The sequence below is a fragment of the Homo sapiens genome, chromosome 11 (assembly GCF_000001405.40).
Source record: "Homo sapiens chromosome 11, GRCh38.p14 Primary Assembly".
Classification (NCBI taxonomy): Eukaryota; Metazoa; Chordata; class Mammalia; order Primates; family Hominidae; genus Homo; species Homo sapiens.
Window position 1 is genome coordinate 754142 of NC_000011.10, and position 12444 is coordinate 766585.

The following is a 12444-nucleotide window of genomic DNA, read 5'->3' on the forward strand; positions in this document are numbered from 1 at the left end:
GCCTGGCTAATTTTTATATTTTTAGTAGGGACAGGGTTTCGCCGTGTTAGCCAGGCTGGTCTCGAACTCCTGACCTCAAGTGATCCACCCCCGTTGGCCTCCCAAAGTGCTGGGATTACAGGTGTGAGCCACTGTGCCCAGCCACTGAGTAGCATTTTATGACTGGGTTGATTAAAGCAGAGAATGTCAGCTTTATAAAAGGGACCACCAGTACAATTTGAACAAAAACTTGGGACATTGTCAAAGTTGTCCACTCCGACTAAAAGGATTCTTAGGTCAGGTTTTGTCAAGTTACCTGCAGAAGCTACTGAATGCGATATTTATTTATTTGTTTGCTTATTTATTTATGAAACAGAGTCTCACTCTGTCACCCAGGCTGGAGTGCAGTGGTGCAATCTCAGCTCATTGCAACCTCCACCTCCTGGGTTCAAGCGATTCTCTTGCCTCAGCCTCCTGAGTAGCTGGGATTACGGGCATGTGTCACCACACCCAGCTCATTTTTGTATTTTTAGTAGAGACTGGGTTTCACCATTTTGGCCAGGCTGGTTTCAAACTCCTGACCTCAGGCGATCCACCAGCCTCAGCCTCCCAAAATGCTGGGATTACAGGCATGAGCCACTGCACCCGGCCTGAATTTATTTTTTTAAGAGATAGGGTCTTGCTCTCTGGCCCAGGTGGGAGTGTAGTGGCATGATCATGGCTCACTGCAGTCTCAACCTCCTGGGCTCAAGCGATCCTCCTGCCTCAGCCTCTTGAGTAGCTGACGCTACAGGCATGCACTACCACACCTGGCTAATTTAGTCTTTCTATGAAACCTAAAAAGAATGATTGGTGAGTGATAGCAGTGGATAAAATTAGTCTTAAAGTTGCAGCAGTGCGGTTCAGCAACTATTAGATAAACTGGTTTCAGGTTAGAGGCCGCTTCAGCAACTAGGCTTGCAGGTAATAATTTTTGGAGCAATGCTGTGTGTCCTGAGTGCTTTTCCCCTTGGCCTTTTTTTTTTTTTTTTTTTTTTTTTTTGAGATGGAGTCTCACTCTGTCACCCATGCTGGAGTGCAGTGGCGCGATCTCGGCTCACTGCAAGCTCCGCCTACTGGATTCAAGCCATTCTCCTGCCTCAGCCTCCCGAGTAGCTGGGACTACAGGTGCCGACCACCACACCCAGCTAGTTTTTTGTATTTTTAGTAGAGACGGGGTTTCACCGTGTTAGCCAGGATGGTCTTGATCTCCTGACCTCGTGATCCACCCGCTTCAGCCTCCCAAAGTGCTGGGATTACAGGCGTGGGCCGCCGCGCCCAGCTCCCCTTGGCTTCTTGACTCTGTTGCAGCTGGGTATGGTGATAATGACCCAGTCCATAAGATCAGCGTTCACATGTGGCTCATGACTAGACCGCGCGCCTCCTTGTGGTGGTACGGCAGTGGGATGCACATTTTCCTTTGACCAGCGTTCTCCCAGCTGTCGCACCGCTCACTCCCATGCTGTTACAGGTCACCTCTTGCAGGGGCATATTTGATCGCTGGGCACTTAGTGTTTGTTGTTCCATCATTATGCAAACAGCCGCCTCTTGATGAACCTTCAGTGACCCAGAAGAAGGTGTGAGAAGTGTGGCTGGACCCCGCTTTCGGAAATGCTCTGGACTCCCCTAACGTCCTGGGGAATTACAGGGTTCCTTCACATGTTTCCAGTTGGAAGCAAGTACTCCACTTACTTTGGCTTTTGAAAACTATTTCCCTAGCCATCGACGAGTACAAGCCCCAGGATGCTACCACCAACCCGTCCCTGATCCTGGCCGCAGCACAGATGCCCGCTTACCAGGAGCTGGTGGAGGAGGCGATTGCCTATGGCCGGAAGCTGGGCGGGTGAGTGCCTGGACTCGGGAGGGTCCCAGCTAGGCCCTCGTGCTAGTCTAGTTGGCCTTGCTTCCCTCCCTAACTGAATTTTAGTTCTCAAACACCATGAACTCAAGGGGGGAAAAAAACCCTATCTTTTTGCCTATTTTTGTTTATTGAAGTGTAATCTGCATGAAGTAACCTGCACCTGTGGTAAATGAGCAGTTCAGAGAGTTTTGCCAATGTGTGTACCCTGTAAATACCACCCCAGTCAAGATGCAGAGCACTTGCAGACCCCCACAGGCCCCTCCTCCCCTCCTGTAGTCAGTCTCCCCAGCTCTGGTAACACTTACCTTCTGGCTGTCATTTTATTTTTTACTTTTCAGACGGAGTCTCGCTGTGTCACCCAGGCTGGAGTATAGTGGAGCAATCTTGGCTCACTACAACTTCCGCCTCCCTGGTGCAAGCAATTCTCCTGCCTCAGCTTCCCAATTAGCTGGGCTTACAGGTGTGTGCCACCACTCCTGGCTCATTTTTGTATTTTTTTTTTTTTTTTTTTTGAGACAGAGTTTTGCTTTTGTTGTCCAGGCTGGAGTGCACTGGCACAATCTCGGCTCACCGCAACCTCTGCCTCCCAGATTCAAGCGATTCTCCTGCCTCAGCCTGCCGAGCAGCTGGGATTACAGGCATGCGCCATCACACCTGGCTATAATTTTTGTATTTTTGGTGGAGACAGGGTTTCACCATGTTGGCCAGGCCGGTCTCGAACTTCTTACCTCAAGTGATCCACCTGCCTTGGCCTCCCACAGTGCTCGGATTACAGACGTGAGCCACCGTGCCTGGCTTTTTAATTTTTTAATAGCTTTTATAACTCCCAGAATGTTCTCTGGTACCTGTTTGCAGTAGCTCCCCACTCCCTTACCCAACCAAGCAACTGTAGAGCCCTCTTCATGCCTGTGGCTTTGCATATTTTAGATGTCATTTTAGATTCTCTTCAGGGTAATAATTCAAAGCTTGAAGATGGTGCCGAGCAGGCAACGTGGGCACCACACAGGAGCAGGTCCCTCTCTGGTACTGGCTTTGCTTAGGTCCAGGTGGCTGGTGAGTGGCTCCCCTGACCATGTTGTGACAGCCACTCTGGACACTGAGTCTGACCCTCTCCTCTCTCTTCTTAGCTCCCTTTTCCTCATCTCGTGGTGTTGCACCCCTGTGGCATCAGTGAGGCCTTGGTGCTCCTGTTATTGGGTGACATTGGTGCCTTTGCTTGGCTGGGTGATCAACAGATGAGCCCTGCACCCATGTCCAGATGGCCCCAAATTTTTTTTTTTTTTTTTTTTTGAGATAGAGTTTGGCTCTGTCACCTAGGCTGGAGTGCAGTGTCACAATCTCAGCTCACTGCAGCCTCTACATCCTAGGCTCAAGCCAGCCTCCCACCTCAGCCTCCCAAGTAGCTGGGACTACAGGTGCACGCCACCACACCTGGCTAATATTTGTATTTGTTTTTAGAGGCAGGGTTTCACCATGTTGCCCTAGCTGGTTTCGAACTCCTGAGCTTGAGCAGTCTGCCCACCTTGGCCTGCCAGGGTGCTGTGATTACAGGCGTGAGCCACTGCACCCAGTCTGGCCCAAGAATTCTAACCTCTGAGCGTCTAGCTGAAGATCTTCCTGTGTGTAGTGGGCTAACAAGGCTGCTCAGATTTTGGAACAGAATCATGGACTTCACTGGGTGTCTGTCCAATAACTTTGAAGAGATAGAAAATATAATATTTTGCAAGTGCCAAAAGATAGAGGGATGCAGTTTGGGATGATGAAAAGAGCTCTGGAGATGGATGGTGATGGTTGTACAGAACTGTGAATGTGCTGAATACATTTTAAAATGGTGGGCTGGGGGCAGTGGTGCACGCCTGTAACCCCAGTGCTTTGGTAGGCCAAGATGGGAGGATCCCTTCAGCCTAAGAGTTCGAGAACAGTCTAGGCAATAGGGCAAAACTCTGTCTCTACAAAAAAATATAAAAATTAGCTGGGCATGGGCCAGGCGTGGTGGCTCACGCCTGTAATCCCAGCACTTTGAGAGGCCAAGACAGGCGGATCACGAGGTCAGGAGATCGAGACCATCCTGGCTAACACGGTGAAACCCCGTCTCCACCAAAAATACAAAAAAATTAGCCGGGCACAGTGGCGGGCGCCTGTAGTCCCAGCTACTCAGGAGGTTGAGGCAGGAGAATGGCGTGAACCGCGGGGGGCAGAGCTGGCAGAGCCGAGATTGTGCCACTGCACTCCAGCCTGGGCGACAGAGTGACACTCCATCTCAACAAAACAAAAAAATTAGCCAGGTATAGAGGTGTGCAGCTGTAGTCCCAGCTACTTGGGAGGCTGAGGCAGGAGGATCACTTGAGCCCGGGAGGTCAAGGCTGTAATGAGCCATAATCACACTACTGTGCTTCCAGCCTTAGCTGGAGACCCTGTCTTGGGGGAAAAAAAAAAGGATAAGATGGGAAATTTTATGTTATATGTATTATTTGGCCACAATAAAAAAATGTTTTAAGAGAAAAAAAAAGATGGAGGGAAGGAAATTTGGCAAAGAAATAACAGAATTTATTTTGTAGAGTCTTGTGCACTTGAACCTCAGAAGCTTCTTTTTTTTTTTCTTGAGATGGAGTCTCGCTCTGTCGCTCAGGCTGGAGTGCAGTGGCACGATCTCTGCTCACTGCAAGCTCCACCTCCCAGGTTCACGTCATTCTCCTGCCTCAGCCTCCCTAGTAACTAGGACTACAGGCACCCGCCACCATGCCCAGCTAATTTTTTAATATTTTTAGTGGAGACGGGGTTTCACCGTGTTAGCCAGGATGGTCTTGATCTCCTGACCTCATGATCCGCCCACCTCGGCCTCCCAAAGTGCTGGGATTACAGGCGTGAGCCACCGCACCTGGCGAACCTCAGAAGCTTCTAACCTGCTTTTTTTCCCTTTGAATTTCAGGTCACAAGAGGACCAGATTAAAAATGCTATTGATAAACTTTTTGTGTTGTTTGGAGCAGAAATACTAAAGAAGATTCCGGGCCGAGTATCCACAGAAGTAGACGCAAGGTAAGGATGCTTGCTCCTGCACTGGATGGGCTGGTCAGGTGTCCACAGTTGCACACGTGGATGCCAACATGAGGTCAAGGGGCTGCTCCACCCATGGTCTTCATCCCAAGGGCCCAAGAGGAGGTTTATTTTGAGCTCTCCCACAGTTGGTAGTGATGACCAAGAGCTCCTTGTTTAGCAACTGATCTCTAGTGTTTTTTATTTTTATTTTTATTTATTTTTGAGATGGAGTCTCGCACTGTCACCCAGGCTGGAGTACAGTGGCGCAATCTCAGCTCACTGCAACCTCTGTCTCCCGGCTTGAAGCGTTTCTCTGCCTCAGCCTCCCAAGTAGCTGAGATTACAGGCACCTGCCACCATGCCCAGCTAATTTGTTGTATTTTTAATAGAGATGGGGTTTGACCATTTTGGCCAGGCTGGTCTTGAACTCCTGACGTCATGATCCACCTGCCTCGGCCTCCCAAAGTGCTGGGATCACAGGCATGAGCCACTGTGCCCGGCTGCTAGTGTTTTTTGTTTTGATTTGTTTTGTTTGTTTTTTGAGACAGAGTCTCGCTCTGTTGCCAGTGTAGAGTGCAGTGGTGTGATCTCAGCTCACTGCAACCTTCACCTCCCGGGTTCAAGCGATTCTCCTGCCTCAGCCTCCCAAGTAGCTGGGACTACAGACACCCGCCACCATACCCAGCTAATTTTTTTGTATTTTTAGTAGCGACAGGGTTTCACCATGTTGGCCAGGATGGTCTCGATCCCTTGACCTTGTGATCTTCCCGCCTCAGCCTCCCAAAGTGTTGGGATTACAGGCGTGAGCCACGGCACCTGGCCCAGTGTTTTTTAATACAAATTATAGCCTATGGATCCCACTGAGGACCTCTGTTTGTGAGACTGGGTGTGAGTTGCTGTCAGAGCCATTCTGCAAACCTCCAGTGAGGGGAAGGTTGAGGGCAGTGGTTGGTGCTCACGGTGGTGCTGCTCAAAACTGACAGGCAGACACCCGGCCTCCAGCTTGCTCTGCGTGGTGGGCAACCTGCGTGATCTGAGGGGATGGGTTCTTCTTGCTCCTACAGGCTCTCCTTTGATAAAGATGCGATGGTGGCCAGAGCCAGGCGGCTCATCGAGCTCTACAAGGAAGCTGGGATCAGCAAGGACCGAATTCTTATAAAGCTGTCATCAACCTGGGAAGGAATTCAGGCTGGAAAGTAAGTGGTCCCCCACAAGGAAGGAGCTCTCAGAGATTTTTCCTCTGTTGGAGCAGGGTCTACATGGCATCAGGCAAGTTTGACTCTCTCAGCCCTGGGGAATGCCAGACTGGGGAGCACAGCCCACAGCTTGGACTTGACCAGCTCATGTCAGCCTAGATCTGCCCTCTGCTCCAGAGCCAGCTCCCTCACTTGCTGGTGATCAGAAATGAGGGATTTCCCAGGAAGTACCATCCACCCACTCAGCAGAGAAGAAAAGCCACTAGTTAGCACCTGCAGATTCAGATTCTGTCCTTCCTCTGTCCTGATCAACACAAGCCTATGTTTACATGATTTTTAAAAAGTAAACTATTGTTATATAAAATATATGCTGGCTGGGCAAGATGGCTCATGCCTGTAATCCCAGCAATTTGGGAGGCTGAGATGGGAGGATCACTTGAGCCCAGGAGTTCCAGACCAGCCTGGGCAACAAAGTGAAACCTTGTCTCTACAAAAATATAAAGAAATTTTAGGCTGGGCACGGTGGCTCCCAGCACTTTGGGAGGCCGAGGCGTGGGGATCACGAGGTCAGGAGATCGAGACCATCCTGGCTAACACGGTGAAACCCCGACTCCACTAAAAAATATAAAAAATTAGCCGGGCATGGTGGCACACACCTGTAGTCCCATTTAGGAGGCTGAGGCAGGAGAATTGCTTGAACCCAGGAGGCGAAGGTTGCAGTTAGCTGAGATCACACCACTGCACTCCAGTCTGGGTGACAGAGCAAGACTCTGTCTCAAAAAGAAAAGAAAACTTTTAGGCCGGGCACGGTGGCTCATACCTGTAATCCTAGCACTCTGGAAGCCTGAGGTGGGTAGATCACCTGAGGTCAGGAGTTCGAGACCAGGCTGGCCAAGATAGTGGAACCCCGTCTCTACCAAAACTACAAAAAATTTAGCTGGGCGTGGTGGCAGGTGCCTGTAATCCTAGCTACATGGGAGGCTGAAGCAGGAGAATCACTTCAACCTGGGAGGTGGACGTTGCAGTGAGCCGAGATTGCACCATTGTACTCCAGCCTGGGTGACAGAATGAGACTCCATCTCAAAAAAAAAAAAAAAAAAGAAAAGAAAAACTAGCCCACCCCTGTGATTCCAGCTACTTAGGAGGCTGAGGCGGGAGGATCGCTTGAGCCTGGGAAGTTGAGGTTCCAGTAGCTATGATCGTACCACTGCACTCCAGCCTGGGTGACAGAGTGAGACCCTGTCTCAGAAAAACCAAACCAAACATATGTACGTTCAGAGTGGAAGAGACAGAAAATGTATAAAACAAAGTAAAACTCCTCTATGATGTTCTCACCCAGAAGCAGCCAATGCTATACTCAAATAATTCGCATCAGGAAGAGGTGTTTTGTTTCCACATCTGTGTGTCTGCATGTTCTACCACCTGCCATCACTGACCTGCTCTGAGATAGCATCTCACTTTTTCACCACGGCTGGAGTGCAGTGGCACGAACTTGGCTCACTGCAGCCTTGACTCCAGGCTCAAGCTATCTTTCCACCTCAGTCCCCCAAGTGGCTGGGATGACAAGCACACATACCACTCCTGGGTAATTTCACCACGTTCCCCAGGCTGGTCTCGAACCCCTGGGCTCAAGAGATCTCTACCCATCTTGGCCTCCCAAAGTGCTGGGATTATAGGCATGAGCCATTGTGCCTGGCCTCATTTGTGTGTTTTTTTGTTTTTTTTTGTTTTTGAGACGGAGTTTCATTCTCGTCCATGCTGGAGTGCAATGGTGCTATCTCAGCTCACTGCAACCTCCACCTCTGGGGTTCAAGAGATTCTCCTGCCTCAGCCTCCGGAGTAGCTGGGATTACAGGCAGGCGCCACCACTCCCGCCTAATTTTATATTTTTAGTAGAGATGGGGTTTCTCATGTTAGTCAGGCTGATCTCAAACTCCCAGCCTCAGGTGATCCGCCCGCCTCGGCCTCCCAAAGTGTTGGGATCACAGGTTTGAGCCACTGCACCTGGCCGGACCATTTGTTTTTATATGTTGGAAAATACTCCATTTTATGGATAGGCCACAGTTATTCATCTGTTGGTGGACACCTGGTCAGTTTCCATCTCTTGAGCTGTGATGTATATTGCTGTGGTCGGTTTCCATTTCTCGGGCTGTGATGTATGCTGCTGCTCTGAACACATCTGCTGCTATGAACACATCTGCTGCTCTGAACACAGATGTGCAAGTTTTGTCCTGGACATGTGTTTTTGTTTCTCGTGGGCATATGCCTAGGAGTGGAGTCTCTGGGTGACTGCTGGAGGAACTGCAGGCTGTTTCCCAACTCAGCTGTGCCATCTGCTGTCCCCCTCGAACACCCCCGTGTGGCCATGTGGCAGAGGCGCCTGGGGAGGGAACTTGTGTCTGAAGGTGCCTGAGCAGAGCCTTGGCTGTCTCATCCCATGCCCCAGCCACATGGCAAAGTATGGGCACTGCTCCGTCCTTGGGGATCAACCCCAGGATGTCCAAAGTGCACTGGGATTTGGGCAAGTGGCCTAGTGAGGCCAAGGGGCTCCTCTCAGCAGAAACCAGGGTGCTACGGGCCTGCTGCAGGGTGGCCCCAGGAATGGGTAGGGTGGAACAGGGTGAGGACTGGAATGTGGTCAGAGATGACTCAGTGGTTCTAGCCTGGGAGCTGAGCCCTGGTGAGTTCTGGGATGAGGTGACGGCCTGGCGCAAGAGCACGGGCACCCAGAGGGCCTCCCTTGCCTTTGTCTATTGTGTCATGTGGGTTGGAGAAAATCCTGGTCACCCATAACCCACTATCCACTTAGAGCCCTCGAGTCTTACCGATTTGTTCTTAACAATGGCATGAGCCTGTTCCTGCCTTTTTAGTTTAAGGCCCGTGAGCGTCTTTGGCAGCCTGTGGCTCTGGGTGGGCACCTGGCCTGCATTCACCTGCCCCGCCCTCACCTGCCCCGCCCTCACCTGCCCCCGCCCTCACCCGCCCCCGCCCTCACCCATCCCCGCCCTCACCGTCCCCGCCCTCACCCGCCCCCGCCCTCACCTGTCCCCGCCCTCACCTGCCCCGCCCTCACCTGTCCCCGCCCCGCAGGGAGCTCGAGGAGCAGCACGGCATCCACTGCAACATGACGTTACTCTTCTCCTTCGCCCAGGCTGTGGCCTGTGCCGAGGCGGGTGTGACCCTCATCTCCCCATTTGTTGGGCGCATCCTTGATTGGCATGTGGCAAACACCGACAAGAAATCCTATGAGCCCCTGGAAGACCCTGGTGAGGGTCCCTCTGTGGTAATGGGGTAAGGGGAGCAGCCTCAGCAGCACCTCAGGCAGGAAGAGCCCGAGACGGAGCTGCCGCATCAACAAGCAGTGAGGTGCACAGGTCGGCGCGGGGCAGGCAGGGGTGGCGGCTCAAGGTAGTGCAGCCGGCAGGCACTGGGAGGGCAGGTGGGGTGGTACCTCTGCCGAAGCCTTCCTGGTCACAGCTTGGTCTCTTTCCAGGGGTAAAGAGTGTCACTAAAATCTACAACTACTACAAGAAGTTTAGCTACAAAACCATTGTCATGGGCGCCTCCTTCCGCAACACGGGCGAGATCAAAGCACTGGCCGGCTGTGACTTCCTCACCATCTCACCCAAGCTCCTGGGAGAGCTGCTGCAGGACAACGCCAAGCTGGTGCCTGTGCTCTCAGCCAAGGCGGGTGAGGCCCCACTGCCCAGCTGTGGCTCCTGCTCGGGCAAGGCCAGCACTGCCGTGCCACGCTGCCCTGTGGGTGATCCCTCCCACCTGTGGGGCGAGCTCATCTTGGGAGACATGAGGGTGAAGTAGACCTCAACGGAGGGCTTGGCTTTCCTAACACATCTCACTCAAGTCATCAGCCAAGGCTCTGTGGGCTGAACCCCACTTCCAGCGTGAGCCTTGCTGGGGCCAAGGCCTGGCCCTGGTGGGAGATGCTTGGGTGCAGCAGTTCAGGCCCTGAGCCCAAGGGGCCAAGGTGGGCAGGGACATGGAGCAGGCATGGAAGGCTGGTTCTTGTCCCCCAGCCCAAGCCAGTGACCTGGAAAAAATCCACCTGGATGAGAAGTCTTTCCGTTGGTTGCACAACGAGGACCAGATGGCTGTGGAGAAGCTCTCTGACGGGATCCGCAAGTTTGCCGCTGATGCAGTGAAGCTGGAGCGGATGCTGACAGTGAGTGTTGTGTGTGGGTACCTACATATGCCAAGCCCTATGAGAGCCCGGGCCTGGGCGTCGGGGTTCAAGCTGGGCAGAGTTAAAACTTTGGTGAGACCCCAGGTCTCATTCACGTGCTGTCCAGCAAGTGGGGCCTGTTGAGGCCATCCCAGGGTGGAGGGTGCATGGCACCCAGGGGTGCCCCCAGGATGCTTGGTGGGTCCTGGCTCCTCTCTGGCCTGTGTGGTGACTGTGGTATTGGCCACCCTGTGGCCGTGGCCCCCACACAGAGTGCAGACCCCACAAGGGCCTCCCTCCTTCCACATGGTGCCTTGTGAGGCTTCAAGGTGCAGAAGGTAGGGTGGGGAGACACAGCTCGTGCTCTGTTTGTTTCTAGGAACGAATGTTCAATGCAGAGAATGGAAAGTAGCGCATCCCTGAGGCTGGACTCCAGATCTGCACCGCCGGCCAGCTGGGATCTGACTGCACGTGGCTTCTGATGAATCTTGCGTTTTTTACAAATTGGAGCAGGGACAGATCATAGATTTCTGATTTTATGTAAAATTTTGCCTAATACATTAAAGCAGTCACTTTTCCTGTGCTGTTTCATTCACTGTCTCCGTCCCCTTTGTCCCCTAAGCATCACCTGCCCCAGCTGTGATGGGCTGTAACCTAGGTTAGGACTCAGAGATGGGGTCGGGGTCAGGGTACCCCAGACACAACCCACCGCCTGGGCCACCACCTGGGAACCCAGGTCAGGGTTGTTGCTGGGAGGCCATTGGTGGAGTTAGGCAAAGGGCAGGCTTCTGATGCCAGGGGCTCCCAAGGTGCTGTCCCAGGTGGGTCACAGATGAACAGTCTCAAGCCTCCAAGCGTGGGCAGATGTGGATGCCTCTCAGAGGAGCAGTCCCAGCCGGACCCTCCCTCCTGCTCTTGAGGGCCTGGGCCTCCTGTTCCCTGTCAAGGCTGCCCTGCCCATGCCCCCCGCCCCCCTCCTGTCCTGTTGTGGCTGAGACCTTACATGGGATGCCAGGTTCCTGCATGGGGTCATGGTGCCACCTTGTGGGGGCAGCACGACATGCACCAGCCACTGGCCTTGAAGTCGCCACCCCCATTTTTTTTGTTGTTTGAGACGGAATCTCACTCTGTCGCCCAGGCTGGAGTGCGCCCCGGGCAGTGGTGCGATCTCGGCTCCCTGCAACCTCCGCCTCCCAGTTTCAAGCGATTCTCTTTACCTCAGCCCCCACAAGTAGCTGGGATTACAGGCGCCTGCCATCATGCCCGGCTAATTTTTTGTATTTTAGTAGAGACAGGGTTTCACCATTTCAGCCAAGCTGGTCTTGAACTCCTGACCTTGTGATCCACCCACCCCGGCCTCCCAAAGTGTTGGGATTACAGGTGTGAGCCACCATGCCCGGCCTCTCCCTGTTTTTCAATACACGGCCTCACTCTGTTGCCCAGGCTGGAGTGCAGTGATGCAATCTTGGCTCACTGTAGCCTCCACCTCCCAGGCTCAAGTGATCCTCCCGCCTGTAGTTGAGACTACAGGCGCGCACCACCATGCATGGCTAATTTTCTATTTTTTGTAGAGATGGGGGGTCTCACCACACTGCCTAGGCTGGTCTCGAACTCCTAGGCTCATGCGATCCTCCTTCTGCGGCCTCCTAAAGTGCAGGGATTACAGGCCTGAGCCACTGCACCCGGCCACCTTTACGGATCCTACAGCACTGGGCTGTAGGATGGAGCTGCAGCTTCTCACCCTGAACCTAAAACAAGCTACCCTACCTTACACCAGCCATCTGGCCACTGCCCCTCAACTCCAGTCTGGGTTGGGCATGCCCGCCCATCCAGGGTGCAAGAGGGGACAACTCGGGCAGAGCAGCAGGCCAGGGAGGCAGCTGGGCTGCCAGTGCCCTTGATCAAGACCAGTGCAGGGCTCCTCCTGGGGTGGAGAGCTGAGTGGGCAGAGCCCTCCCCACACCAACCCCCACTGCTGAGGAGTCCCTCCCACCCTTCAAGGCTTCCCACAGGAGGCCAGGCCTCTGCCTCCGAGCCGGTCAACAAGCTAAGTCCTAAGAGGACATCAAAGGTCTTGTGGCTCCCAATTATTAACAGCACCACTATCTCCAAGGAGGCCCAGCAGAATGGGGCTCTGGGGATGTGACTAAGT

The 12444-nt window shown here is 53.0% G+C and overlaps 1 protein-coding gene across 1 annotated transcript in view, besides 2 other annotated features; it reads left to right on the forward strand.

The window, feature by feature from the left end:
• Positions 1-10871, forward strand: part of TALDO1 (transaldolase 1) — a 17549-nt gene extending 6678 nt beyond the window's left edge. The window contains exons 2-8 of the mRNA NM_006755.2: positions 1738-1861; positions 4809-4916; positions 5981-6112; positions 9203-9378; positions 9606-9803; positions 10147-10292; positions 10672-10871. Of these exons, the coding sequence (NP_006746.1) occupies positions 1738-1861; positions 4809-4916; positions 5981-6112; positions 9203-9378; positions 9606-9803; positions 10147-10292; positions 10672-10704 (917 nt within the window). The 3' untranslated portion in view covers positions 10705-10871. The remainder of the gene's footprint in view (positions 1-1737; positions 1862-4808; positions 4917-5980; positions 6113-9202; positions 9379-9605; positions 9804-10146; positions 10293-10671) is intronic.
• Positions 8447-9646: an enhancer, noted in NCBI's record as "CDK7 strongly-dependent group 2 enhancer chr11:762588-763787 (GRCh37/hg19 assembly coordinates)". NCBI's record gives its function as "activates an origin of replication core promoter dependent on BRD2, BRD4, P300/CBP, MED14 and CDK7 cofactors, with strong dependence on CDK7, by STARR-seq in HCT116 cells {active_cell/tissue: HCT116}" and the evidence as "EXISTENCE:reporter gene assay evidence [ECO:0000049][PMID:35650434]".
• Positions 11198-11611: a silencer, noted in NCBI's record as "fragment chr11:765339-765752 (GRCh37/hg19 assembly coordinates)". NCBI's record gives its function as "represses an EF-1alpha promoter that drives an FKBP-Casp9 reporter gene in an ReSE screen in HepG2 liver carcinoma cells {active_cell/tissue: HepG2}" and the evidence as "EXISTENCE:reporter gene assay evidence [ECO:0000049][PMID:32094911]".